Source organism: Homo sapiens, chromosome 6 (assembly GCF_000001405.40).
Source record: "Homo sapiens chromosome 6, GRCh38.p14 Primary Assembly".
Lineage (NCBI taxonomy): Eukaryota > Metazoa > Chordata > Mammalia > Primates > Hominidae > Homo > Homo sapiens.
In genome coordinates, this window is record NC_000006.12 from 129,494,321 (window position 1) to 129,521,051 (window position 26,731).

General features: G+C 38.2%; 1 protein-coding gene and 1 long non-coding RNA gene across 17 annotated transcripts in view, besides 1 other annotated feature; one reads left to right on the forward strand and one right to left on the reverse strand.

Annotated features, from left to right (window-relative positions):
• Nucleotides 1-22,246, forward strand: part of LAMA2 (laminin subunit alpha 2) — a 633,429-nt gene extending 611,183 nt beyond the window's left edge. For both annotated transcript variants that reach the window (NM_000426.4, NM_001079823.2), the window contains 7 exons: nucleotides 8,339-8,451; nucleotides 8,771-8,960; nucleotides 10,880-11,035; nucleotides 13,169-13,322; nucleotides 18,043-18,173; nucleotides 20,053-20,275; nucleotides 21,870-22,246. In NM_000426.4, coding sequence (NP_000417.3) covers nucleotides 8,339-8,451; nucleotides 8,771-8,960; nucleotides 10,880-11,035; nucleotides 13,169-13,322; nucleotides 18,043-18,173; nucleotides 20,053-20,275; nucleotides 21,870-22,027 — 1,125 coding nt within the window. In that variant the 3' untranslated portion in view covers nucleotides 22,028-22,246. The remainder of the gene's footprint in view (nucleotides 1-8,338; nucleotides 8,452-8,770; nucleotides 8,961-10,879; nucleotides 11,036-13,168; nucleotides 13,323-18,042; nucleotides 18,174-20,052; nucleotides 20,276-21,869) is intronic.
• LOC102723409 (uncharacterized) overlaps nucleotides 1-26,731 on the reverse strand; it is a 77,085-nt gene that overhangs the window by 1,839 nt on the left and 48,515 nt on the right. For 11 of the 15 annotated variants that reach the window (XR_007059765.1, XR_007059754.1, XR_001743859.2 and 8 more), the window contains one exon: nucleotides 8,208-8,471. This is a non-coding gene — a long non-coding RNA (uncharacterized LOC102723409). Of the gene's footprint in view, nucleotides 1-3,632; nucleotides 6,228-8,207; nucleotides 8,472-26,731 lie in introns of those variants that run through there. The other 4 variants (XR_007059761.1, XR_007059757.1, XR_001743860.2 and 1 more) reach the window with 2 other exon arrangements.
• Nucleotides 7,389-8,588: an enhancer, noted in NCBI's record as "CDK7 strongly-dependent group 2 enhancer chr6:129822854-129824053 (GRCh37/hg19 assembly coordinates)". NCBI's record gives its function as "activates an origin of replication core promoter dependent on BRD2, BRD4, P300/CBP, MED14 and CDK7 cofactors, with strong dependence on CDK7, by STARR-seq in HCT116 cells {active_cell/tissue: HCT116}" and the evidence as "EXISTENCE:reporter gene assay evidence [ECO:0000049][PMID:35650434]".

The window sequence follows — 26,731 nt, forward strand, 5'->3', positions numbered from 1 at the left end:
GATAACCATCATTCAAGAAAACTGGTTATTTACTCCAAGCATCCTTTCATCCTTTGTAAAATAGAGATATTTCATCTATCTTGCCTACAACATAGAGTTATGAAAAATCAAATGGGATAATGTATGCGGAAGTTATCTGAAAACTGGAAAAAGCATACCCACATAGACACTCTGAGGAATCCCTGCATTTAGTGAATAACTACTATGTGTCCAGTACTCTGCCAGGCATTTCATATCTGTTATTTCATTTTATTCCCACCCTATTGTTTTATTTACATTTATTTATATTGCCAGAAGTATTATATTTCACAAAGGAAAATACCTAAGATCACACAGCTAGCAAGTGGAAAGCTGTCAGTCATGGGGGGTTAGTTCCAGGAGTTGATTTCATCCTAAAGCATTCCTGAGATCTGCCACATGGATTTCAGAATGTTTCCTCAGCTCTTTCATAATTCAGCCACAGGTTAGATCTTTGCTTAGCAAAGGTAAGGTTAATGATCCTCCTCTTCACCCTCATATACCTGAAAATCATGTGTTTCTCAGACTCATAAACATGTTTTCAGTTGAAGAATTAGAAAACATCATGAGTTGAATAAACTTTTTTGACCTTGGATCCTAATGTCCACTTATAAAAATGTTTCTAGGAGAAAACAGCCTAATTTCTAAATGACTAACTTAAAATTATAAACTAAAATTGGCAAGAGCCCTAAAGATCATCTGGTCCAATCACCATCTTAATGCATGGGTTCCTTTTACATGATACTTACAGCCTTTGCTTGAACATTTCATTGACAAGATTTTCCAGTGTTATGACAAGGCAGGCTCGAGTTGTTAGAAAGCCATCGGTTACATTAAGTTAAAACTGAGTCCCTAAAACTTCTATGTAATGATTGTATTTCTATAGGCAAACACATTACATTTATGTGTCCTCTGTCTAACATCCCTTCAATAATTTGAAAATAGCTAAGTCTTCTCCTTCCCTAGGCTAACCATTTCCCTAGCTTAGGTATTCTTTGTATTATCTCATTTCTAATTACTATCCCCTCCATGATCAGTATTCTTAAATTTGAAATATTCCCTTCATAATATGGCACCTACTGCTCAAAAGGAAGTCACCAGCTCAGGGGACAGTGTGACCCCTCCCTCCCTTAATTGTTACCATATTTCTATTAATGCACCTAAGAATGTTTTAATGTTTTTAATAGATATATCATGCTACTAATTCCAAATCGGGTACCATATTCAATCAAGCAGAACCTCATGGACCTTCTTCTCTACCACTAGAACATCCTCCAGGCAGGTCTCTCAGCCTGTGCTGGTTTGGATTTTTAGGGATAACCCTGCCAGCCTCCATGGATCACCTTACTTTTCTAAGTACTTACACAAACTGCATTTTATAGGGCCTCTCAAGCACATTTTTCTGTGGTATTTAGAGATCACACTTTTTCCTTTTTTCTCAAAATAAAGATACTTGCCCATCTGGGAATGGAGATTTTTACTCATTTAAGGTTCTTTTTTTTTTTTATAACCTTCTGTTCTAATTTCGATTTCCATTTCCTCTCAGCAGTGTATGTTTTAACTTTTCCGAAAACAGAGCATTCCACTTAGTAGATGAGACAGAAGCAAAAAGTTGAGTAGCATGCCAAATTGGTTGGTTTAGAAAGAATCACAGAACATTAGAGCTAGAAGACACCCTAAAGATTCCAACTCTTAACTTGCACATGAGGAAAGAAAGCCCTCAAACTTACAGCATGGCCCAGGGGGTTACACACATGAGCGATAGTTGGCACTAAAACCCAGATATCTAAATTCCAACTGCTATTTCACCTTCTTTTTGTTTGTTTGTTTGTTTGTCTGTTTTTTGAGATGGAGTTTCACTCTTGCTACCCAGGCTGGAGTGTAATGTCACAATCTCGTCTCACTGCAACCTCCACCTCCTGGGTTCAAGCAATTCTCCTGCTTCAGCCTCCCGAGTAGCTGGGATTACGGGCATGCACCACCACTCTTGGCTAATTTTGTATTTTTAGTAGAGACGGGATTTCTCCATGTTGGTCAGGCTGGTCTCGAACTGCCAACTTCAGGTGGTCTGCCCACCTCAGCCTCCCAAAGTGCTGGGATTACAGGCATGAGACACTGCGCCCGGCCTATTTCCCCTTCTTTTGCACATTATAATTAGTTATGACTGTGTGGTCAGAATTAGATTTTTTAGAACTTTCCATCTCTATTAATTGTATTATATTTTAGAAATCAGATCATGAAGCCACACATATCTTCTGTTTTAATTTGTTTCCTTTCTTATGTTCTTTTTGTGTGTGTAGGGGGAAAAGGGTGTCTTCTTTTTAAAGGTTACTAAAAGTTAAAAGTTTTACAGTTTATTTTGTAACAAATATTTATTAAGCACCTACTAAGTGCAAAGATGAATACGATATTATCATTGCTAGTCAGAGAAAAAGAGGGAGAGTTGCTTTTTCTGCCATAGCCCTCCCACTTTTATTCCATGAATTCTGGCAGGTTACTTGTCCCTTCTAAATGTAAAATAATTAATGGACAAATAAGGATAATAATATCTTCCTTCTAGGATTACTATTATGAGGGAATAAGTTATACATTTTATGCAAAGCACCTAGCACCATGCTTGGCTCAAAGTAACATTCCATCTCTCTATTTATTCTTTTGTTAGTTTAACTTTAACTTCTGTGTTTCTTTAACTTAATTATTCTAGTTAGTTTAACTTTTCACATTTTTAGGGTGGGTGGCAGGTGCTGGAAAAAAAGGGATGTGGTGAGTATTCAATTTTTAAGCAATTCCAAACCCTTTTATTGGTTTGATATGTAATGATGATATATACATTGTAATGATGTGGTTATTAAATAAGTCCTCTATAATTTTCACTTCTCACCATTTTCCATTTTTGTATCAGAATTTAGATTCTTTATTTTTTTTTTCTTGCTCTGTCACCCAGGCTGGTGTGCAGTGGCGCAATCATGGCTTACTGCAGCCTTAACCTCCCAGGCTCAGGCGATCCTCATGCCTCAGCCTCCTGAGTAGCTGGGACTGCAGGTGCATTCCACCATGCCCGGCTAATTTTTGTATTTTTAATAGAGATGGGATTTCACCATGTTGGCCAGGCTGGTCTCGAACTCTTGGGAAGTGATCCACCTGCCTCAGCCTGCCAAAGTGTTGAGATTACAGGCATAAGCCACCACGCCTGGCCCAGAATTTAGCTTTTTAAGAGTTGTTATTTAAGAACTAAGACTTAAAAGTTAACTCCTGAAGTGAGAACTGCCTATTTATGAGCTCCATATTTGTGCTAGCACAGTTGACAGAAAAGATCTATTCTCAGTGCCCTTCTTTTTCTTCTTTACACCCATCACACCCAATCCTGCCAGCAACTTACAGCATGAGGACAACATTCACTATACTACAGGGCAATGTAAGGGTGTCTTGAGAAAGCCCTGCCTTGTGAAATGGATTATGTCAATCTTATGATTAATTCATGTTGAACACGCTAGATTAAAGAGCATTTCATGCATATTATCTCATTTGATATTATGGTAGCTTGTCTTCTCTTTATACTTCTCTCTTATTCTTTAGCCCATCGAGAGCTAGAGAAAACATTTCTACATGTTCTATTTGTGGATATTTTTCATGGAGGATGGCAGGAGGTAGAGGTAGATAAGAGGCTGAACTTCAAGTATTACAGAAATTTGTTGACATGTGGAAACGTGACAAGTTCTCTGCAAGTATGTGCACTGTTTAGACCAAGTCTTTTTAACAAGGATAGCCTGTGTGGATTTGTAGATAATGAGCTGGCTGCATTCTTTTACTTGAATTTTATTGAAGAGTTCAGCCGTAAACCTCACAGTTTAAAATGTGAAAACTAAGAAAAACAATACAAGTAGCCATGGAGAATTCCTGTACTGATGAGCTCTCTTTGGGATTTGGGGAAAAGAAGTGAGCACAGAAGGAAAGAATAGAGGAAAGGAAAGCGATTTCCCTAGCAGCTTTAGTGCTACACCTTTAAGACCTAAGTACAGTCAAGGCCAAAGGATAAACTGATTGGATACTGATATGTATTTAAAGAGAAAACATACATTTTCCACTTATCAAGGAATCCTTGTTTAGACATTAATGTATAAATATTACTGTAAATGCCCAAGACCCACCAAAAGAGCTTAAGTGCAGTGTTAACAATAATTCAGTTTCTCAATAAACATCTTGAGTAGGGCTTTTATATTTTAGAAGAAGATTAAAGTCAGTGCTATAAAAAGTATCTTCCACTTATTCATCCATAAAGAAAATCATGACAAATAAGCACCAGATGTGATTTTAGCCCACATTTATTAGAGAAATTAATTATTGACTCATGAAAGAAGAAAATTATGCAATTTCTATGATGATTCATTGTTTGGTGCTTTCAAGAACAAAGATGCCAGTTTTGATAAATGTAATATAAATCTCTGCTCAGGACCCAGGAAATTCAAGAGATGCTTATCAACGAATCATACGCACTCCTGAATCTAAGAACTCATTTCCAAATGTCAGCCACCAATCTGCAGTTAGTTAGAAAAGACCATTGCTTTATTCTGACCTGAAGTTAAATGAGTGACAGTGTGGGGGTGAAAACGTTTTGGCCCCGTTACCAATTTGGTGCACTATCTACTTCCCTAAACAAGGCTTTGGGAGCATGGCTTCCTCCATAATTATTCCCAACCACATCACTGCTCTAATCAACAGGTGCACCACCACGCGAGACTCCCCACCCAAGTCCTGTCTGCCTACAACTTGTAACCTGCCAAGCAAAGGCAAATGAAAAACAAGCGTATCTGTCCTCCTTTCATATCCCATTTTCCCCATTATCTATTTCTAGTACTTTAAAAAGTCCCCACAAGGTGGCAGAATTGTAACACGTTGAGATTGATGAGCCTCTACTGAGACTGTGAATTTTTTTTTTTATTATTATTGTTGTTTTAACACATTTGAGAGATTAGTGCGTCCAAAACAACACAGGTAAAGCATCACATCCATAGAGATGAGGACGCCTTCAAGTATACACTAGCTTAGAAAAGGATGATTCATCTTGCAATGACCATTCTTTAAAAGTTCCTTAAAATTACCTCATTAGATCTTTTCTCTTACCCTTTTTTCTTAGCTTAGATTTCAGTGGCAAGCAGAGTTGAAAACATCATCCTTAGTGACAAGATCATTTTATTTCTGAGCAAAGCACAGGGCAGTTTCTATTCCATCTCACTTGTTCCCCCTTTAAAATGCTAGAAGGAAAAAAGAAGCTTGAGCAGCTGGATGAGCAGCTCCACCCACTGTGGGACATGAGGCAGAAGGAAGAGAAGAGGAAGCAACACCGGGCAAAGCAATAAACTGGTGCTGCCCTGAACACATCATGTTTTTTTTCTTTTTGAGACAGGTTCTTGCTCTACTGTCCAGGTTGGAGTGCAGTGATGCAATCATAGCTCACTCTAACCTTGAACTCCTAGGCTCAAGTGATTCTCCTGCCTTGGCCTCCCGAGTAGCTGGGGCTTTCAGCATGCAACAACATGCCCAGCTAATTTTTTATTTTTTTAATTTTTTTGTTGTTGTTGTTCTTTTGGAGAGACAGAGGGGGGCAGGGGTCCTCACTTTGTTGCCCAGGCTGGTCTCAAACTACTAGCCTCAAGCGATCTTCCTGCCTCGGCTTTCCAAATGCTGGGATTAAAAACATGAGCCACCACGCCCATCCCTTACACCCATCAGACTTGGTTTCAGTTTACCCAAGGAAAAGTGATGCAAGGAAGACACCCTTTAACCAAGCAAGGGGGAGGTCGAGATTTGTACAAAACACTACCAAATTAGAGGGTGGGGAATTTTTGTCCCATTTAAATCCTAAGGTACATATTTTTAAAAACCCTCTTACACCAGCACTTCTCAGTCCTTTTCCAACTGCCAGTTTAATAAAGGAAGGTGATAGAAGTTTTATTAAAACAGTATCCATCCTGTTGCAAATCAATGATTGATAGTAAACATCACCTTGGATGTCCTTAAAAACAAAGGACTATACACCATAATGGCTTTAAACTTTGAGGTTACATGTTAGAGTGATCAGTTTGGTACAACTCTTTTCCATAACATTGGCTCATCTGAGAATACCGTTTTATTAAGCACTGCTTCTGCCTGCTTCTTGAGGGCTGCCCGTTGCAGAAACGGAGGATCTAATCCAGGAGGTGTTCTTCTTCCTAAATTTCAAGTGGATGTAACCTGTAATGATTCTTAAAAGAACTTTGACAAAGTCCCTGTCCTTTTCTGGTCAAAGGTTTTTTTCTAAAATGGCTTGACCAGTGCCTTGTCCATCTAGAAAATCTCATAGTATACAACGAAACAACAACAAAATAAAAACAAACCAAAAAACTGCTGCTTAGCTCAGGACCAGTTTTGGATACACCTGTCCAGTCTACCAGCAATCCAAAAGTTCCCCATAACATACAGCTGCTACCGGGAGTGTACAACTGCCACCTTGAAAATTTTTTAAATTTTAATAGAGAAGTTATATTGACATTTACATATAGTAATTAGACGAGTGACTGTAACCGCAATAATATGGACATAACCCACTGGTGGTTCTCTTTTAAGCTACATGTAATTGTTTCCTAATTCCTCAGCATCCATCCACCTTTCTTAATCCCTCAATTTTCAGAGCTGAGGGTGTAAAGATGTTTCAGTGAAATTCTGCCCCCAGTGGACTCACAGCAGATAGGATTATCTTAGTGATTTCTGAGGAAGACTGCAAGCTGCGTGTGTTTATCGAGACGGTCCTCTGTCCGGGAAATATCGTGAGAGGCTGATAAAAGATCCCAATTCTATTAATAGAAGTATTCATGACTGAGATCTTAAGCTACAGAGGCCTTTCCATTCGGGCTCTTTTTGCAGGCAGCGTAATAAGAAAGGTGCCACATGCTGCCTCTAAAAGAGGCCATTCAGCTGTGCGAATGAATAGCATTTTCCTGTCCTACCCACGGGGTTTTGCATAGCTGTGTGAATTTCGGCCACAGTCTGCTCTTTATAACTGACCATCTCCTGGGAAGCAAGAAGGGAAATACTTCCATGAAGACCAATTTTACGGCATTTCAAAACACTTTAAGCCTTTTACCTGCTGTGGCAGAGTGCTTCGTTTGACTAAGATCAAGAGAAAAGAGAACAAGGCTTTTCCTCATCAAGTAAAAATTTCCTGTGTGCTGATGAGTCATCTCTGAGGTACACTCTTTGGGAAGAACACTGTGCATCAAAAGCCTGCCTTGGGCTGCTTGAGAACCTCTGCTGAGTCAGCACTCACTGGGGCAGCGGCCCAGCCAGAGCTATTAAGTGCAGATCTTAAAAACAGATGTGTTGGTGAGAGTGTGCAGGTTATTTTCTCATGTACTGCATGTTCTAAGAGATGTCATAAGCAGCCTGTATATCGACCTATCTTGTGAAAATAGAGAACAGGGAAAGGAATTGTGGCTTTGGTAATTTAAGGAGCCTTGATTATTTATGGAGCTGTGTGTTATGGTAGCCAAATGTGATCTACTCAGCCAGGACTGCTGTATGCTTTGCAAGGCCCAGTGCAAAATGGAAAATGCAGGGCCCCTCACTGAAAAATTATTAAGAATTTCAAGATGGTGACAGCAGAGCATTAAACCATGTGACTGCACAGCCCCGCACCTAGCTCTCCCCCTCAGCACCCTAGGAAGCTGATCTTTGAACAGTGGCAGTTGAAATGGTGTATGGTGGGTTACATTTTTAAAATGTGCTGGGTTGCCTAGCAACTGGCAAGGGCCTGAATGGGCTGACGTGCAGGTTTAGATACACCATCTTGAAAGTCTACATTCATGGAAACCTTCTAGTGGACTGATAATTTTCAAGAAAAAGTAATATAGTGGGAGATGGAAATGGGGAGGGCAAGAAAAAACACATTTTGCTACTCTTATAACCCAAGTGGCTAGCTTGTCATTTTCCCTGTTCGATCTTCTAAGAATAGAGCTCTTCATATGTGAAGGAAAAATGAAAGGGAAATTCCAGTTTTCTCAGAAATATACATAAATTTTTAGAGGATAATGAAACTATGAGTTAATCAATAAATATGTCTGAGCACATTCCTTTAGCCATTCCAGGGTGTGATATGAGAAAACTGATTCACACGCACTGAGCACTCAATAATAAGTACTTACTATGCAGTAGACTACAGAGATGAATAATGTAGTTTTTATTCTTAAAGAATTACGCTAATATGTAAGAAACAATTAGACAGCATCATTACCTTTTTAAAGAACAGTCCATAATCTCCTGTTTTTCTCTCCTGGGTATTTTACAGGGTCCTTGTGCTGCAGAATCAGAACCAGCTCTTTTGATAGGGAGCAAGCAGTTCGGGCTTTCAAGAAACAGTCACATTGCAATTGCATTTGATGACACCAAAGTTAAAAACCGGTATGTATCATCCTGAGACACTGGGAAAGAACCGATAAATGAAGAACTGAGTATTTGTGTTTAATCAAGTTGAATCTACTACACTTATTAATTAATGAAGTTAGCTTTTCTTTTATTCACTGAGTACAATAGAGAATAGAATTTTATTTGTCTGAGCCTGAGGAGCCCAATTTAGGAAATCAGTAGCCTGATAAAGTCCTCATCTCTGAGAAGGTTTTACTCTCCTTTATGAAAATGCAGCCACGATCTGATACCGCTCTATTTTAGCATGAGAATGCTGTTATTTTTCTGTTTGACTTTGCATGCTTTTGTTTCACAGTCTCACAATTGAGTTGGAAGTAAGAACCGAAGCTGAATCCGGCTTGCTTTTTTACATGGCTCGCATCAATCATGCTGATTTTGCAACAGTTCAGCTGAGAAATGGATTGCCCTACTTCAGCTATGACTTGGGGAGTGGGGACACCCACACCATGATCCCCACCAAAATCAATGATGGCCAGTGGCACAAGGTAATAGTCCCCTGGATATTGGCAGTACCCTAAGGGAATTACTGAGTGGCAGCCATCAGCATTCTCCTGGTGCCAGTATATTTTGCCAGGGCAGACACTGACTCTGGCAGAAGCTAAAAATAAAATAAGTGCCATATACAACTACCACAATCTTGGAAAATGTGCTCAGACCTGTGTAGGTTTGCATTTGACCACTGGCATGCCTCATCATGGTTCCATCACTGCTATATGGCTGTGGTTTTCAAACATCTACCCATAAACTGAGGCCAGGTGGCTGAAGACATTTCCACTGCTCTAAGTGAGAAACGTAGAACAGAGTGTGTTCACCATCAAGCTCGATGTATTCAATTTTAAGGAATAATATTTATTCTGAGATTATATTATAGCATTTTTATGGTGGCTAAAAGGCCTTTCTATTATGAAATAGTATTTGCCAAAAGCAAAAGTTGGCAACACTAAAATGGGTCCCAAGACTCCCCACCTAACCACACAGTGGTCTGTGAAAACCAGGAATCCAGGAATCTCTGGTTGATCGTGTTTAAAGGGCTCTAAGGTATCATTTCTACTGACAGTTATTTGGAACAACTTTAAAAACGTTGGCCTTACACCCAGAAACTGGTACTATTATGGGCACAGAAGGCTCATTTGCCAGCTTACTGTCCTCTTTGGCATGACTGCAAATAGATAATATACTGCCTGATTAAAACAAAATCTCAACATTTGTCTCTGCACCTGCGATAGCCTATTAAAGCAAAGCTTCCCTAGGTAGACCAATAAAATTTTTAATTTTCAGAGTACGATATTATTAGATGTTAGATTTGGTTAATGTTAACATACTTTGACTTGTCATATTCTAGAAAGCCAAAGAACCTTAAAAAACGCGAAGCCAACCAATTTGTTATCATGGAAATAAGAAAAGGAATCTTCATTTTTGCTGGGAGCTTATGACTAGCAAATACAGATCCAAATGAAGGAGCTCTCATTAAGAGTTCTTCCATCTCTAGCTAATAGAATAATAAATATGACATTTGAGAAAAAGACATATTGTTGAACCACAATGAGGCTGGGATTAAGAAAGGGAACTTAAATACTATAATTAGTCAAATTAATAACGGATTTTATTTTTGATGGTTTTTAAAAATTACTTCCCAAACCAGAATAGATATGTGTAAAATGAAGTGTGAAATTACTCTAATCCTGACCCAGACTCATTTTTAAACCATCATGGTACTTTAGCATTTCACAGGCTTTCATGCTCCTTTACCTAAATTCAGACTCAAGGTTTTTATACTCCAGCCAGTCTTTACACCCCTTATTTCATTCTGTCTCAGAAGATAATTCACTCCACCGCCCTAAATTTCAGCCTCAGTCACTTCTCTATCTTACTCCCCCACTTTGTACTCATCAGGTTCTGCAGAAAGTAGTGCAGCTTATTTGTGCCACTCTTTCTTTAATTCTGCACAAGAAGGGCCTGTTAGGCAAAGGGATGTAGCGTATCTGAAATTGTGTTGGGAGCCCAGGCTCTTTGCTCAATCAAACTAATGCACTTTTAAAACTGTGCATGAATTTTGCTACCCACTTAATTTATGAAAGTGCTATTAGTCTGCAGGGTTCCTTACAACATTCCTCCCTCTCCACACATATCCACATTTGGCAATCTACCGAGGAGACTTCGACCTAAAACTGACCCAGGAAAATTTGGTATTCTTTTGGTGATAGTAGTCATGGAAAAGACAGAATTTGAGATATTCTGTAAAATGGGTTTAACTTTCCCATATATAATGGGCTTAGCGCATACTAAGCACTGTGTACATTGTTTCAATTTTTCTTGGTAACATCGTTAGAGTCCTTATGTCTTATACTCTGCATATGTGAAATTTGTTCAGGATTGGCATTAATGACTCCTTTCTTTTTTGTAGATTAAGATAATGAGAAGTAAGCAAGAAGGAATTCTTTATGTAGATGGGGCTTCCAACAGAACCATCAGTCCCAAAAAAGCCGACATCCTGGATGTCGTGGGAATGCTGTATGTTGGTGGGTTACCCATCAACTACACTACCCGAAGAATTGGTCCAGTAAATATCTGATTTCTTCTTTATTACTTAAATATATGGCTGATTCATTTATTGATATATTTTGACTTATTAGGTCACATGGGCCCATGAAAACTGATAGGTGAATAGGAAGTCATCTTTTCTGATAAGGGACAGAAGGGTTTGTTGTTTATTTGTTTGTTTGTTTGTTTTGAGACAGAGTCTCGCTCTGTCGCCCAGGCTGGAGTGCAGTGGTGCGATCTTGGCTCACTGCAAGCTCTCCCTCCCGGGTTCACGCCATTCTCCTGCCTCAGCCTCCCTAGTAGCTGGGACTACAGGTGCCTACCACCACGCCTGGCTAATTTTTTGTACTTTTAATAGAGACGGGGTGTACTTTTAATAGAGACGGGGGGTTTCACTGTGTTAGCCAGGATGGTCTCAATCTCCTGACCTCATGATCCGCCTGCCTCGGCCTCCCAAAGTGCTGGGATTACAGGCCTGAGCCACCTCGCCCAGCTGACAGAAGGTTTTTTAGATAGATTAGATTATGAGAGACAATGCCACGGAACACTGAGTGGGGAACCTGGAGCCAAACTGTCTTGGTTTGAATACCTATTTAACTATTGACTAGCTGTGTGTTTTGGAGCAAGTTAATCTTTTTTAACAAAGATTTCTCTTTTGCAAAACAGGGTAATGATAATACTAAACAAAAAGGATTGCATAAAGATTAAATGAGGTAATTTATTTAAAGTGATTGGGTTGGGCATGGTGGCTCACACCTGTAATCCCAGCACTTTGGGAGGCCAAGGCAGGCAGATCACTTGAGACCAGGAGTTCAAGATGAGCCTGGCCATCATAGCAAAACCCTGTCTCTACAAAAATACAAAAAGTTAGCCAGGTGTGGTGGTGTGTGTCTGTAGTCCCAGCTACTTTGGAGGCTGAGGCAAGAGAATCACTTGAACCCGAGGGTCAGAGGTTGCAGTGAGCTGTAATAGCACCACTGCATTCCAGCCTGGGCAACAGAGCGAGACCCTGTCTCAAAAAAATAAATAAATAAATAAATAAAAATAAAAATAAAGTGATTGGAAGAGTAGCAGGCATATAAAAAGCACTGAAAGATGAAAATGATGGTATGTATTCATGGTGTTTCAGGCATAGAGATTTAGCAAATATTGAGAGGTGCAGTAGTTACAGTACAGTTATCCAATTTTGGATTCAGAATTTAAAGCCCTCACAGTTTTGTAAATCAATATTCACAAAATAATTTTTTATTAGACCGTGTATCCTAGTTTGCTTTGGAAAGTGTTACTCTGAGAGAAGCACGGGGGATTGATTGGTGCTTTTAGAGAACACACTAGATACAAATGTGATACATTTCTATACTCAAATTAGAACACATGATAATGTAGATTTGTTCATTCATCAAAGACAATCACCCATTATAGTTGTAATTCTCAGTATTTGGCTTCTCTTGTGGATGATCAGTATTACTTTTCTTTCATAGGTATTGGATATGCTTTTTAGGTCTATCAAAAACTAAAGTCTCTGAAGTGACACTGGTACAAGCAATTCACTTGAATTTCTAAAAACAGATAAAATATAATGGACCAGAGTGTGATTGAGTTACTTCTAAATTCCTTGAACCCCCAATGTTTCATGCAAACTTTCAAGTTTTATGCATATTTGCATTTTCTTAGGGGAGGGTCTGCTGCTTTCATTAGATATTCAAAAGGAAGAAGCACTGAACCAAACCTAATTACCTTTTCAAATAGAAATTGAACATAGGCTATGACAAAATGGGTATATAGTAAGGTTAATAAACTATTAATAGAAACATAAAATCAGGAACGTAAGAGACCAATTAAAACTTATGATACCAACATGGGGCCCATAGCTCTGTCAAACCAATGGAGACATAGTGTGCAGTATTTAGACTATGAGAACAGTCATATTCCAGGATAGACACATCCAAGTTGAGAAGCACAACACAGGATTTTCTGCATCCATGCCAGGAGGCCTGGTGGTAACAGAGAACCCAGGCAGCTTTGGGGGATATCCCATCCTAAGACAACTGGATAACTACACACATAGAGCACCCTGCAAATGACTGTATTCTACATAAAGGCAAAGTTCTGCTAAAACCTGACATTTGTTTCTTCTGATCTGAATGTTTAGGTGACCTATAGCATTGATGGCTGCGTCAGGAATCTCCACATGGCAGAGGCCCCTGCCGATCTGGAACAACCCACCTCCAGCTTCCATGTTGGGACATGTTTTGCAAATGCTCAGAGGGGAACATATTTTGACGGAACCGGTTTTGCCAAAGCAGGTAAGGCTCTTTCATTTCCTTCCTGTTGATTATTAACTAGATACAAATACTAACTTCTTGCTAGTACCAAATAATAAAAGTTCCTAGAGTCCTAAACTAGTATCCTTTATTTAAGCCAAAAAGAAACTTATGGAAGTAATTTCAAAAATGCCTCTTAAAAATTCATGTATCTGATCCTGATAAGAATTAATAGAAGAAATAAAGTAAAAGGTCTATTTAGAGAATTTATTCCATCTCCTTCACTGGAGGTTAAGAACAGCAAAATAAATAATTTTGCAAGAACACTCATATGTTTATACTATGTTGTTTTTCTACCTTCCAGTTTCTGGAGATGAGATATGATTTTTTTCTTCAATTCCCTGCAAGGCTGTATTTCATAATCTCCTCCCCATCAACACACACCCATACACACAATGCACACCCATGTCTGTTTCTTGTTGATAGTGACAATGACTGGCATCTTTCCTGGCTTTCTCCACTCCGTTTCTAATGAACATTTCCAGTATGGTTTTATATCACTGGTCATGAAGGTACAGTTAGGAAAAAGAAATAGGAAATAACCTCTACATAATAATTTTTTAATCCTTTAATTTTTAATTTTTGTGGGTACACAGTGGGTGTATATATTTATGGGTGACCTGAGATATTTTGATGTAGGCATGCAATGCATAATAATCATATCAGGGTAAATGGGGTATCCATCACCTCAAACATGTATCCTTTATGTTTCAAACAATCTGATTATACTCTTTTAGTTATTTTTAAATGTACAATTATTTTTTTTTTTTTACTGTAGTTACCCTTGTGCTAGCAAATACTAAATCTTATTCAAACTATTTTTGTATCATTAACCATCCCTACTCCTCCCTGCCACTAACCTTCCCAACCTCTGGTAACTATCCTTCTACTTTCTATCTATCTCCATGAGTTGAATTGCTTTAATTTTTAGCTCCCACAGATAAGTGAGAACATGTGATGTTTGCCTTTGTGTGCCTGGCTTATTTCACTTAACATAATGACCTCAAGAACCACCCATGTTGTTGCAGATGATAGGATCTCATTCTTTTTTATGGCTTATTCATATCCAGTATGTATATGTACCACACTTTCTTTATCCGTTCATCTGCTGATGGACACTTAGGTGGCTTCCAAATCTATTGTAACTAGTGCTGCAATAAACGTGGGAGTGCAGATATCTCTTCAATATTCTTTTGGGTATATATCTAAGAGTGGAATTGATGGATCATATGGTAGCTCTATTTTTGGTGTTTTGAGGAACCTCCAAACTGTTCTGCATAGCAGTTGCACTAGTTTACGTTCCCACCAACAGTGTACAAGGGTTCTCTTTTCTCCACATCCTCGTCAGCATTTGTTATTGCCTGTCTTTTGGATAAAAGCCATTTTAACTTGGGTGAGATGATAGCTCATTGTAGTTTTGATTTGCATTTCTCTGATGATCAGTGATGTTGAGCCCCTTTTGATATACCTGTTTTTCATCTGAATATCTTCTTTTGAGAAATGTCTATCCAAATCTTGTACCCATTTTTAAATAGGATTATTAGATTTTTTTCCTATAGAATTGTTTGAATTCCTTTTATATTCTGGTTATTAATCCCTTCTCAGATGGGTAGTTTGCAAATATTTTATCCCATTCTGTGGGTTGTCACTTCACTTTGTTGATTGTTTACTTTGCTGTGCAGAAGCTTTTTAACTTGATGTGATCCCATTTGTCTATTTTTACTTTGGTTGCCTGTGCTTGTGGGTATTACTCAGGAAGTCTTTGCCCATTTCAATGTCCTGGAGAATTTCCCCAATGTTTTATTGTAATAGTTTCATAGTTGGATCTCTTAGATTCAAGTCTCTAATCCACTTTGATTTGATTTTTGTATATGGCGAGAGATAGGGATCTAGTTTCATTCTTCCGCATATGAATATCCAGTTTTCCCTGCACCATTTATTGAAGAGACTGTCCTTTCCCTAATGTATGTTCTTAGAACCTTTATGGAAAATGAGTTCACTGTAGATGTATGGATTTATTTCTGGCTTCTCTATCCTGTTCCACTGGTCTATGTGCCTATTTTTATGCCAGTACTATGCCGTTTGGCTTACTATAGTTCTGTGGTATAATTTGAAGTCCGGTAATGTAATTCTTCCAATTTTGTTCCTTTTGCATAGGATAGCTGTGGCTATTCTGGGTTTCATATGAATTTTAGGAATTTTTTCTATTTCTGTGAAGAATCTCATTGGTATTTTAATAGGGATTATATTAAATCTGCAGATTGCTCTGGGTAGTATGGACATTTTAACAATATTGATTCTTCCAATCCATTAACATGGAATATCTTATTTTTGTGCCCTCTTGAATTTCTTGCATCATTGTTTTATAGTTTTTATTGTACTTTCCTCTAAGATCTGGAACACGACAAGGATGCCCACTCTCACCACTGTTATTCAACATAGTATTGGAAGTCCTAGCTAGAGCAGTCAGACAAGAGAAAAAAGTAAACGGCATCCAAGGAAGAAGTCAAATTATCCTTGTTTGCAAATGATATGATTTTGTATTTGGAAAAGCCTAAAGACCCCACCAAAAAACCATTAGAACTGATAAATTCAGTAAAGCTGCAGGATACAAAGTCAACATACAAAAATCAGTAACATTTCTATATGCCAACAGCAAACAATCAGAAAAAGAAATCAAGAAAGTAATTCCATTTACAGTAGCTACAAATAAAATAAAATACTAAGGAATTAACCAAATAAGTGAAAGGTCTCTACAATGAAAACTGCATAATAATTTTTAAAATCTGCAATTAATGTACTTTAAGATAGAATATTCAGTCCCGTGGTATCATAGAAATACGTGTATGTTCATTAGAAATAAACTAATAAGCACATAATATGTGGAGATTATGATGGGAAACAGAAATAAGTAACATAGTTCTTTCTATCAAGAATATATTATCAACTGGTAAGAAATTGAAAGAAGGCAAGTAAAAATGATTAAAGACAAAAAAAGCACAGTTCTGTAGATACTTAGAAAAAAAGATTAATTTTGTTTGGGGGATATCAGGAAACGTTTCATGGAGGAATCAGCATTTGAGCAAGGCTTCAGGTGATTTTAACACTCCCATACAAAGTAGTGGGTGATAGAAGAGTAGGACCCTCCACCAAAATATAGGTAGGAAACCCCACCTACAGGGAAGCAGAAAACAGAAAAACACAGGATATGTTAAATATTGAAACGTTACAGGTTATGCTGAACCCCGAATTCCATGTGCTATGAAAGTCTAAAAGCTTCCCCCAAGATTTCTGCAAATTCACAGATGGCTGGCATTCTCTTAGTCAAATTTTATGACAAGTTTCAGCTTCAGCTTTTGCACTTAATGGATTGACTTGCCATCCTGCCTGGGCTCTTATAATTCTGGATCAAACAAAACCAGAAAATTACTCACTTCCTCTGTTTCTAATGTCCCTTGCCATCCCCTGAACACACAGTGTAATACAATTTACATAAGACTTGGGTGGTCAGAAGAGATCACTTCACTGGAAAACATACAATTCATCTTAACCTTTGACATCTTTGTTCTTAAAAGTTTTCCAGCGACCCAATCACTGGGGCTTTTTTTTGGCCTCTTCATTCCTTCTGTCCTCAGCCGAACTTCCTCATGTCATTCCTCTCTTCTCCTTACTTCTCCCTTTCTGTTTTATTTTGCAGAGCAATTCAGCTTCTTCTACCCTTTACTTTATTTTTTCGTTTATTTCCAGAAGGGGTGTCACTATGTTGCCCAGGCGCAACTGGCTAGCTTTTATTCATAAAATCTGCTATAAACCCACCTTTGCCAATCCAAACCCATCAAGGTTCTCAGTAGAACAAAAGTCTTTCATGTAACAGCTACCATCCTTCATTGCAGACAGCCGTGGCTACACATAGCATTTATTTCTTGCCTAATAAATAGAAGACTTGGAGAAAATTCCCCTGAGTATTTCTCTGATACTCAGTTCAGTTGGTGTGGTCTAGACAGATCTTAACATATCACTTTGTTCCTAAGTGATGTATCTATCTTAAATACTTGCTCAAAGATTAAAAAAAAAATCAAAGAGTCAAATATGGAAAATCATAGAGGAAAGAATTAACTGGATGAACAAGATAAGTCTATTTATGTCCCAGAAGCTTCCCATCAACATTGTACTTACAGTTTCTCTCTTTATTAATAAAATGTGTGGCAACTTTTGAAACCTTTCAGATGATTGTGGCACCATTTAGTGTGCCCCACTAAAACTTTACTGAAAAATAACTGAAATGTTTTTCTTTACCCAACAGAGAGACTTCTAAGATAATAATACCTGACAGTGAGATTCTTTAAGTCAATCTCAGTGTGTATCCATTTATTCAAATAATACATAGTAAACCCTCATGTTGTGCCAGATACTTTGGTAAGCACAGGGATAAAATGGTGAAAAATATAGACAATGCCCCTGATCTCATAGCACATACATTCTAAAAGGGAAGGTAGCCCAGAAAATAAGCAATAACTAACTATGGAGTGTGTTACATGATGCAGTGGTGGAAGATAGGCCAGGCAGGATCTGAAACTTATAGCCCTCATTAGAATTAGCTAGCATTTGAATTGAAATATAATAAAAAGTCATGCATTGTACACGTTTGAATTAACAATCCCCATCCTCTAATCCAAAATATTTTAAAATCTTCATTTTACAGTTGGTGGATTCAAAGTGGGATTGGACCTTCTTGTAGAATTTGAATTCCGCACAACTACAACGACTGGAGTTCTTCTGGGGATCAGTAGTCAAAAAATGGATGGAATGGGTATTGAAATGATTGATGAAAAGGTGAGTGTCAGCAATGCAAACATTTCTGATTTCTTCATGATATTGTTGATGTGTAGATATCATCCATGTGTGGGAAACTCGAATATTTTGAAGCCCGGCTGTATTCTTTGTTGGGAGAAAGCTAAATTGTATGTTTTCATCCTTCTGGATTACTTCAATTTGTGTATGTTTTCAGCATGTTGTAGGCCAGTATAAATTTTAAATGCATTAATTGTACAGCAAGCCAATCGTGTTGACTAATAATGAACCAAATAGTTTGAGATCTCGAGTTCTTACTGTGTTGCTATAAACACACTCTTATTCTCCTCTTAAGGAACACACAGTCTATGAGACTATGGACTCCAGTGGGAGAAAAGGCAGAGAGGTGGATCATCTAAAATTAGTCTGCCTCTTTTAACAGGCTAGGCATCTCTTAGAAGCCAAGGTAGCCAACTGACGCATCAGTTTCTCAATTTGTTTAAAAAAGCATCCAGCTACCATTTCAAAAAACAGCAAATTTATAAAAGTAGTGTGTCAGTTTGATAATAATTGATAATCAAATTCTAAACACCTCTTTCAGCCCTGCATTAAGACAACTTTGCACTATAGGCAGCAGGTAAACAGAGAAGGGAAAACAAGAAATTTCACAAGTTTTCTATTTGGTTATTAAATAGGAATCGTACTTCAACTCAGTTCACGTTTCCACCCTTAGTGTTGCCTCCCAAGAAGAAAAATCACACAGTGACCTAAAATAGTTTTTTCTTGCTTTCTTCCTCTTTCTGCTCAATTTTCAAACTGTCCTCCAACAAAGGTAATATAGGAAAAAAGATCCACCAGCTTAGAGGTAAAAAGGAGTGAACAAATAAGTAACACTCAATAGTTTTACCAAATTTTCAAACATACTTTTACTACATCTTTTTCAAGTAACATGCTCTTAAGGGCAGTTACCATCGATATGTCACTATCATGTGCGTTTCTCACCAAGCTCCTTTTACATGCAAAAGCCTGTTATGCAAACTCCACCCAATATAGTAAACATTTCATTAATAATTACATCAATAGAGTTTACAAACTTTTCACCTATTTACTTGCATTTTTAATCTTTCTTCTTAAGACTTCATTTCTTTTCTTTTACCTTGTCGAATGTCTTGCCAAACTGACTAATGTTTTTAGTGTTTCAATATGTTTCGTTTCTTCACCAGCTTCAAAAGAATTCTGTCATCTCAAATTTCAGGGGCTTTTCCACATTACTAAAAACAGATTTTTCTCATTTAGACCAGAACTTCTAGTCTAAGTTCTTCATTGTTAGGAATTTAACTGGCCTTCTGGCTCAGGTCTTTGGCACCTGTGACATGAAACGGGCTCCAAAATGTAATTTATGTAACTCTCAATCTTGTATATAAAATGAAATCCATGAAGGAAAAAAATATAATTAAAACATCAAAAGTTTAAAATTTAAAAAATCCTTTACTTTGAATTTGTAAACCAAATTAATGAGTCACTTTAAACAATATCTTTTAAGAAAATTTTATAAGGTTCAGTCAGAACTCTCACATTCTAAAAAGACGTGAGGTAGAATTTTTCCCTGTGTACACTAGGTCCTTTTCTTGTCACCTGGCCTCAAATTTTTCTGAAAGCAGAATTATTACCAGCTTTACGTATCTTGCCTATTAACTCCCAACAATGCCCCAAAGCAAAGAGCATAATTTGTGGCTCCTGGTGATTAGATTTATACTTTAATTTGTCAAGTTTTAAAATTTTTTTCAATATGCCCAGTTACATCCATTTCAAATGATTCTGGCTGATGTCTTTCCTAGAGACCTGATCATTTGTATGTGTGAACCATCATGATACTTCTTTAATGAAACCATCTGTGACTGTTCTATTTCCTACTTTCCAGTTGATGTTTCATGTGGACAATGGTGCGGGCAGATTCACTGCTGTCTATGATGCTGGGGTTCCAGGGCATTTGTGTGATGGACAATGGCATAAAGTCACTGCCAACAAGATCAAACACCGCATTGAGCTCACAGTCGATGGGAACCAGGTGGAAGCCCAAAGCCCAAACCCAGCATCTACATCAGCTGACACAAATGACCCTGTGTTTGTTGGAGGCTTCCCAGGTGAGTGTTGGCTACCCCAGCAACAATTTCTTTGCTCTCTTATGTTACTGGTTTTGAAAACATTTATATTTACGTGTGTCTAAGAATGTGTGCTTATGTGTACTTGCTTCCTAGCTTTAGAATCTGCTTAGAATCTGCACCTTACCTAAAATTTCCAGTGTGTAAAATGAACATATTACTTATATAAACCACATGGGACTGAACTTTTCATGAGAGCCCCCAAAGTTTCCTTCGTGGAGAGATTGAAGCTGGAGGAAATGAATTTGGCTTATAAAAGATATGAGGCATTTAACAGCAATTGGAGCCAAACTTGGTGTTCTTTCTGATTTTTTTAAAATTAATATACCAGAGGAATCAATCATAAAATGTTATGGAACTTATTTCCTCAAGTTCTGGAAATCATTGGGTTAAACATAGCTAATTTCCCCCTTATGTTATTATAGAGTTTATATTTATATTACAAAGAAACGCAAGCAATAAATCCTCATTCAGAATCCTTCTCTAGCACATTAAATATAGCATGTGAACTGTAGAGATTTACCTAAAGTGCCCATAAACAAGAGTGGCCAACTTGATGAGAAGTAAGCCAAGTGCCTCTTAATAAGTACTGTAATAACATAGCCTCCTGGAATGGTCTTTCATCATTTTGTCAAGAGGAACTTTTATCCCTGTTTATATAAAGCTCCTTTGCTAAATGAAACAAGCAAAATGTATATTCAGCAATTGTTGACAGAGCAATGTTGATAGAAATGCAATGGGGGCCCAACGACAGCTCCTCTTTCCAAAGTGGCTTCTGTGTTTTAAAAAGATCTTTTGCTTCAATCAGGATAAATTCCAAGATATTATGAAGGAGGTAATGTACTTCTCCATTCAGTCTATGATAATGGGATCCTAATTAACACCTAGTAGGCCTACTGAAACAAGCACCTCTATAATAAGAGGAAGATTCTACATGAATATCCAACCTACTTAACCTTTAGGGATTTATTTTTACAATGTAAGAAAGTGATAAAGTCACCTTCAAAAAGTTCTAAGTAAGTCAGTACTTAAAAGTATTTGATCAATTGCTTTGTTTCATGAAGTAACATTTTACAATTTTAAGTCACAACTATAAATTTGTTCATCCCAAACCAAGTTATTTCATGTCTTAAGATGTATAATTCTAGATGTTTTCATATGTTATAACTATTAAAAAGTTGAGGCTGGACATGGTGGCTCATGCCTGTAATCCCAACACTTTGGAATTACACTTTGGGCATAGATGGGGAGATCTCTTGAGCCCAGGAGTTGGAGAGCAGCCTGGGCAACACGGCGAAGGGAGGATCGCTTGAGCCCAGGAGGTTGAGGCTGCAGTAAGCCTTGATTGCGCCATTGCACTCCAGCCTGGGCAACAGAGCAAGAACCTGTCTCAAAAAATTTTAAGTTGATCTTTCTTTCTCTACAATTCTATTAGTAAGGCTAAAAACAAAACCACTAACTTTGCATAAAACAGCATTCCAATTTAATCTCAAGCTAACAGTTGACTTTGAAACATGCTCTTAATATTTGGTGCAGGACATTTCAAAGCTGAGCCCTCTTGCATTGCCTTTTTCAGATGACCTCAAGCAGTTTGGCCTAACAACCAGTATTCCGTTCCGAGGTTGCATCAGATCCCTGAAGCTCACCAAAGGCACAGGCAAGCCACTGGAGGTTAATTTTGCCAAGGCCCTGGAACTGAGGGGCGTTCAACCTGTATCATGCCCAGCCAACTAATAAAAATAAGTGTAACCCCAGGAAGAGTCTGTCAAAACAAGTATATCAAGTAAAACAAACAAATATATTTTACCTATATATGTTAATTAAACTAATTTGTGCATGTACATAGAATTCTTTCTGTATTCAGATGGTGCTAATTCAGACTCCAGACTGAATTTTAATTCAAGTTCTTTCTCAAGTCTATAAATAATATTAAACTGATTATTTCATTCTAAATAATTGCCTGTTTTGTGTGATTTTAAGGATAAAAGGTAACTGGCCATAAATTGTTGAGTTTGCAACATGCCCTCCAGTCATCTCAAGGAAAGAGTTCAGATGTAATTTATGGAGGCAATTTTTTTTAACTTATTCCTATCAATACTTCTTCTTTCTTTTATCATCCTTTACCATGTATGACAGCTTTGGCCTTCTGTCCAAGCCACTGACAGCAAGTGAATTTGGCATGTGTGATTGGGAGGAAATCAGTTCCCTTACTCTATTTATGAAAGAATTATTAGCAAATCATTGTCCTGACCCAAGTTCATTATTAGAGAGTTTAACTAGCCGTATGAGTGAATAGCTTTTTATGCTGAAGGTAGAGGGTATAGACCAGATTCAGGCCAGAAAGCTTAATTACTTGATTTTCTTATTTGATAATGATTTATGGGCTTTGGGGAGATGCCAAAACCAAGCTTATGAATGACAACCAAGCACACATTTGATACTACAGTACTAAGAAAGATTTGGGGCTCTCTAAGCCTACAGTGAATATCACAATTTACACCTAGGTGGAGAGGAATAATGCTGAAATGCATTTGTACTTATCAGGAAACAATAAACCAGAAACTTAAAAGGCATACTTCATTGAGTCTTTTGGAGCTGTAATTTGACCTAACAAATTCATTTTCTATAAACGTTCTGTGTTTTGTTCTCCTTTAACCCATGATTTCAGTCATCTTCAAAGAGCTCTGTGAGAAGACTGGCCTTGATTTTATTCACCAGCTTAAAAAGGAAACGTTTCATTTGCCATCTTTAGTAGACAATGGTTGCAGTCTAATAATTCAGAACATGTAAAAGAACAGGAAACTCCTTTCTCCTATGGAAATTTTAGCAACAAAGAATAATCCTCTCTGACAATGTTGTTATCCACTAGGGGAAGGAAGGTGCTGTTTCCAATTGAGGTGATGGCTGACATACTCACTATTTCACCACCGTCCTGTTGCTTAATACAATTTGTACACACAACTTTATTCTACAGAAGCAATTCTCAAGCTTAGCTCAGTGTTTTTAAAAAACTGCCTATGCTTTAGAAAAGTGCCTAGGGAGTTTTTAAAAATCTAGTACCTGGTCCAGTGATTCTGATTTTGTCTAGGACATAGCCAGAGCATAATGATTTTTTTTTTTTTTGAGACAGGGTCTCATGTTGTCACCCAGGCAGGAGTGCAATGGCACCATCTTGGCTCACTGCAGCCTCAACCTCCCCAGTTCAAGTGATCCTCCTGCCTCACTCCCCAAGTAGCTGGGACTACAGGTGGGCACCACCACACCCAGCTAATTTTTATATTTTTAGTAGAGATGGGTTTCACCATGTTGCCCAGGCTGGTCTCGAACTCCTGAGCTCAAGAAATCTGCCTGCCTCAGCCTCCCAAAGTGCTAGGATTACTGGCATGAACCACTGTGCCCAGTCAAGCATGAGGATTCTTAAAAACATTCCCAGGCAATTCTAATGTGTTGTCAAGGATGAACCTAAGAAAAATAAGCAATAGGGAAAGGATTCCCTATTTAATAAATGGTGCTGGGAAAACTGGCAAGCCATAAGTAGAAAGCTGAAACTGGATCCCTTCCTTACACCTTATACAAAAATTAATTCAAGATGGATTAAAGACTTAAACGTTAGACCTAAAACCATACAAACCCTAGAAGAAAACCTAGGCATTACCATTCAGGACATAGGCATGGGCAAGGACTTCATGTCTAAAACACCAAAAGCAATGGCAACAAAAGCCAAAATTGACAAATGGGATCTAATTAAACTAAAGAGCTTCTGCACAGCAAAAGAAACTACCAGCAGAGCGAACAGGCAACCTACAGAATGGGAGAAAATTTTCGCAACCTACTCATCTGACAAAGGGCTAATATCCAGAATCTACAATGAACTCAAACAAATTTACAAGAAAAAAACAACCCCATCAAAAAGTGGGCAAAGGATATGAACAGACACTTCTCAGAAGGAGACATTTATGCAGCCAAAAGACACATGAAAAAATGCTCATCATCACTGGCCATCAGAGAAATGCAAATCAAAACCACAATGAGATACCATCTCACACCAGTTAGAATGGCAATCATTAAAAAGTCAGGAAACAACAGGTGCTGGAGAGGATGTGGAGAAATAGGAACACTTTTACACTGTTGGTGGGACTGTAAACTAGTTCAACCATTGTGGAAGTCAGTGTGGCCATTCCTCAGGGATCTAGAACTAGAAATACCATTTGACCCAGCCATCCCATTACTGGGTATATACCCAAAGGACTATAAATCATGCTGCTATAAAGACACATGCACATGTATGTTTATTGCGGCACTATTCACAATAGCAAAGACTTGGAACCAACCCAAATGTCCAACAATGATAGACTGGATTAAGCAAATGTGGCACATATACACCATGGAATAGTATGCATAAAAAATGAAGAGTTCATGTCCTTTGTAGGGACATGGATGAAACTGGAAATCATCATTCTCAGTAAACTATCACAAGGACAAAAAACCAAACAACGCATGTTCTCACTCATAGATGGGAATTGAACAATGAGAACACATGGACACAGGAAGGGGAACATCACACTCTGGGGACTGTTTTGGGGTGGGGGGAGGGGGGAGGGATAGCATTAGGAGATAGATATACCTAATGTTAAATGATGAGTTAATGGGTGCAGCACACCAGCATGGCACATGTATACATATGTAACTAACCGGCACATTGTGCACATGTACCCTTAAACTTAAAGTATAATAATAATAAAAAAAAGAAAAAAAAAGGATGAGAAGCACTATTCTAAAAAGAAACATTATCCTCCATGCCAACAAAGAGTTTTATAGTCATTTGAGAATTCTACTATTAGCTTTGTCTTGGCAATTTCCACACCCATTAAAAATAATAATATTATAGGCCAGGTGCAGTAGTTCACACCTGTAATCCCAGCACTTTGGTCGCTCAGGCAGGAGGATCAGTGGAACCCAGGAGTTTGAGACCAGCCTGGGCAACATAGGGAGACCCTGTCTCTACCAAAAATTTAAAAATTAGCCAGGCATAGTGGCATGCACCTATAGTCCTAGCTACTCCAGGAGGTTGATGCAGGAAGATTGCTTGAGCCTGGGAGGTCAAAGCTCCAGTGAGCTGATGATTATACCACTGCACTCCAGCCTGGGCAACAGAGCAAGACCCTGTCTCAAATGAAAGAAATATCTTTTTATATCAAATATTGAATCTAGTGAATTTAATATATAAAACATTGAATCTAGTGAATATCTTTTAACCAAACTTTAAGAAATAAAACTTTTTGAAAACCAATGTGTTTTAAAAGTGGAAACATACATCTGCACTAAACGCTGACATGACTTTTTGGGCTTAATCTGGACACTGAGTGGGATAAACAGGAATAAAGATGTTGGGTTCCTTAGATTAAAAGCTAAAGCCTTTCTTTCTTGAGTCCTGCACAGAAAGATATGTAACAAAACGGAAAGCAAAGGCAGTTAAATTGGCACTCCTATCAGAATAAAGTCCTGCCTCAGTCAATTTGTAGGTAGATGCCTTAGAATGATAGAATGATAGAACTGGAAGTGAATTGAGATCAGCGAATACAGTGATTCTCAAGTCTAGCTAGATGTTTAAAGTGCTTTGGGTGCTTAAAAAATCTACATTTGGGCTGGGCACAGCAGCTCACGCCTGTAATCCCAACACTCTGGGAGGCCAAGGCAGGAGGATCACTTAAGCCCAGGAGTTTGAGACCAGCCTGAGCCACACAGTGAGACCTTAGCTCTAAAAAAAAAAAAAAAAAAAAAAAAAAAAAAAAAAAAAAAAAAAAATTAGCCTGGTGTGTTGGTGGTGCATGCCTGTGTGGTCCCGACTATTTGGGAAGCTGAGGTGGGAGGTTCACTTGAGCAGGGTAGGTTAAGGCTGCAGTGAGCCAGTGATCGTGACACTATGCTACAGCCTGGGCAACAAAGCAATATCCTGTCTCAAAAAAGAAAAAAAAAATTGACATCTGGGTGTCACCCCAGCCCAATTAAACTATAATCTCTGGGTAGGGCCCAGGCATTGGCATTTTTTAAAAATCCCCACTTGATTCAAATGTGAAACCAAGACTGAAAACCCCTGGGCTCCTGTCACCTCCACATTTTATGGGGAGGAACTAGAAGGAACTCAAGGATATTTTGATAACTGTGCTCAAAGTCCCACCTTAGTAAAGTTTCCCAATGTAGTCCAGACAGTTGCATCTGGATCCAAGCAGAATTCACTGAATTAGGTTTGGACAAAACTTGTCCCATGCAAAATTCATACTCCAGAGTGACCCATGAATTTGGATAACCAAAAATTGTCCACATTTTAAGGTCAGAAATAAGGACATTTTGGTTGGGCACGGTGGCTCACGCCTGTAATCCCAGCACTTTGGGAGGCTGAAGCAGGTGGACCACCTGAGGTCAGGAGTTCAAGACCAG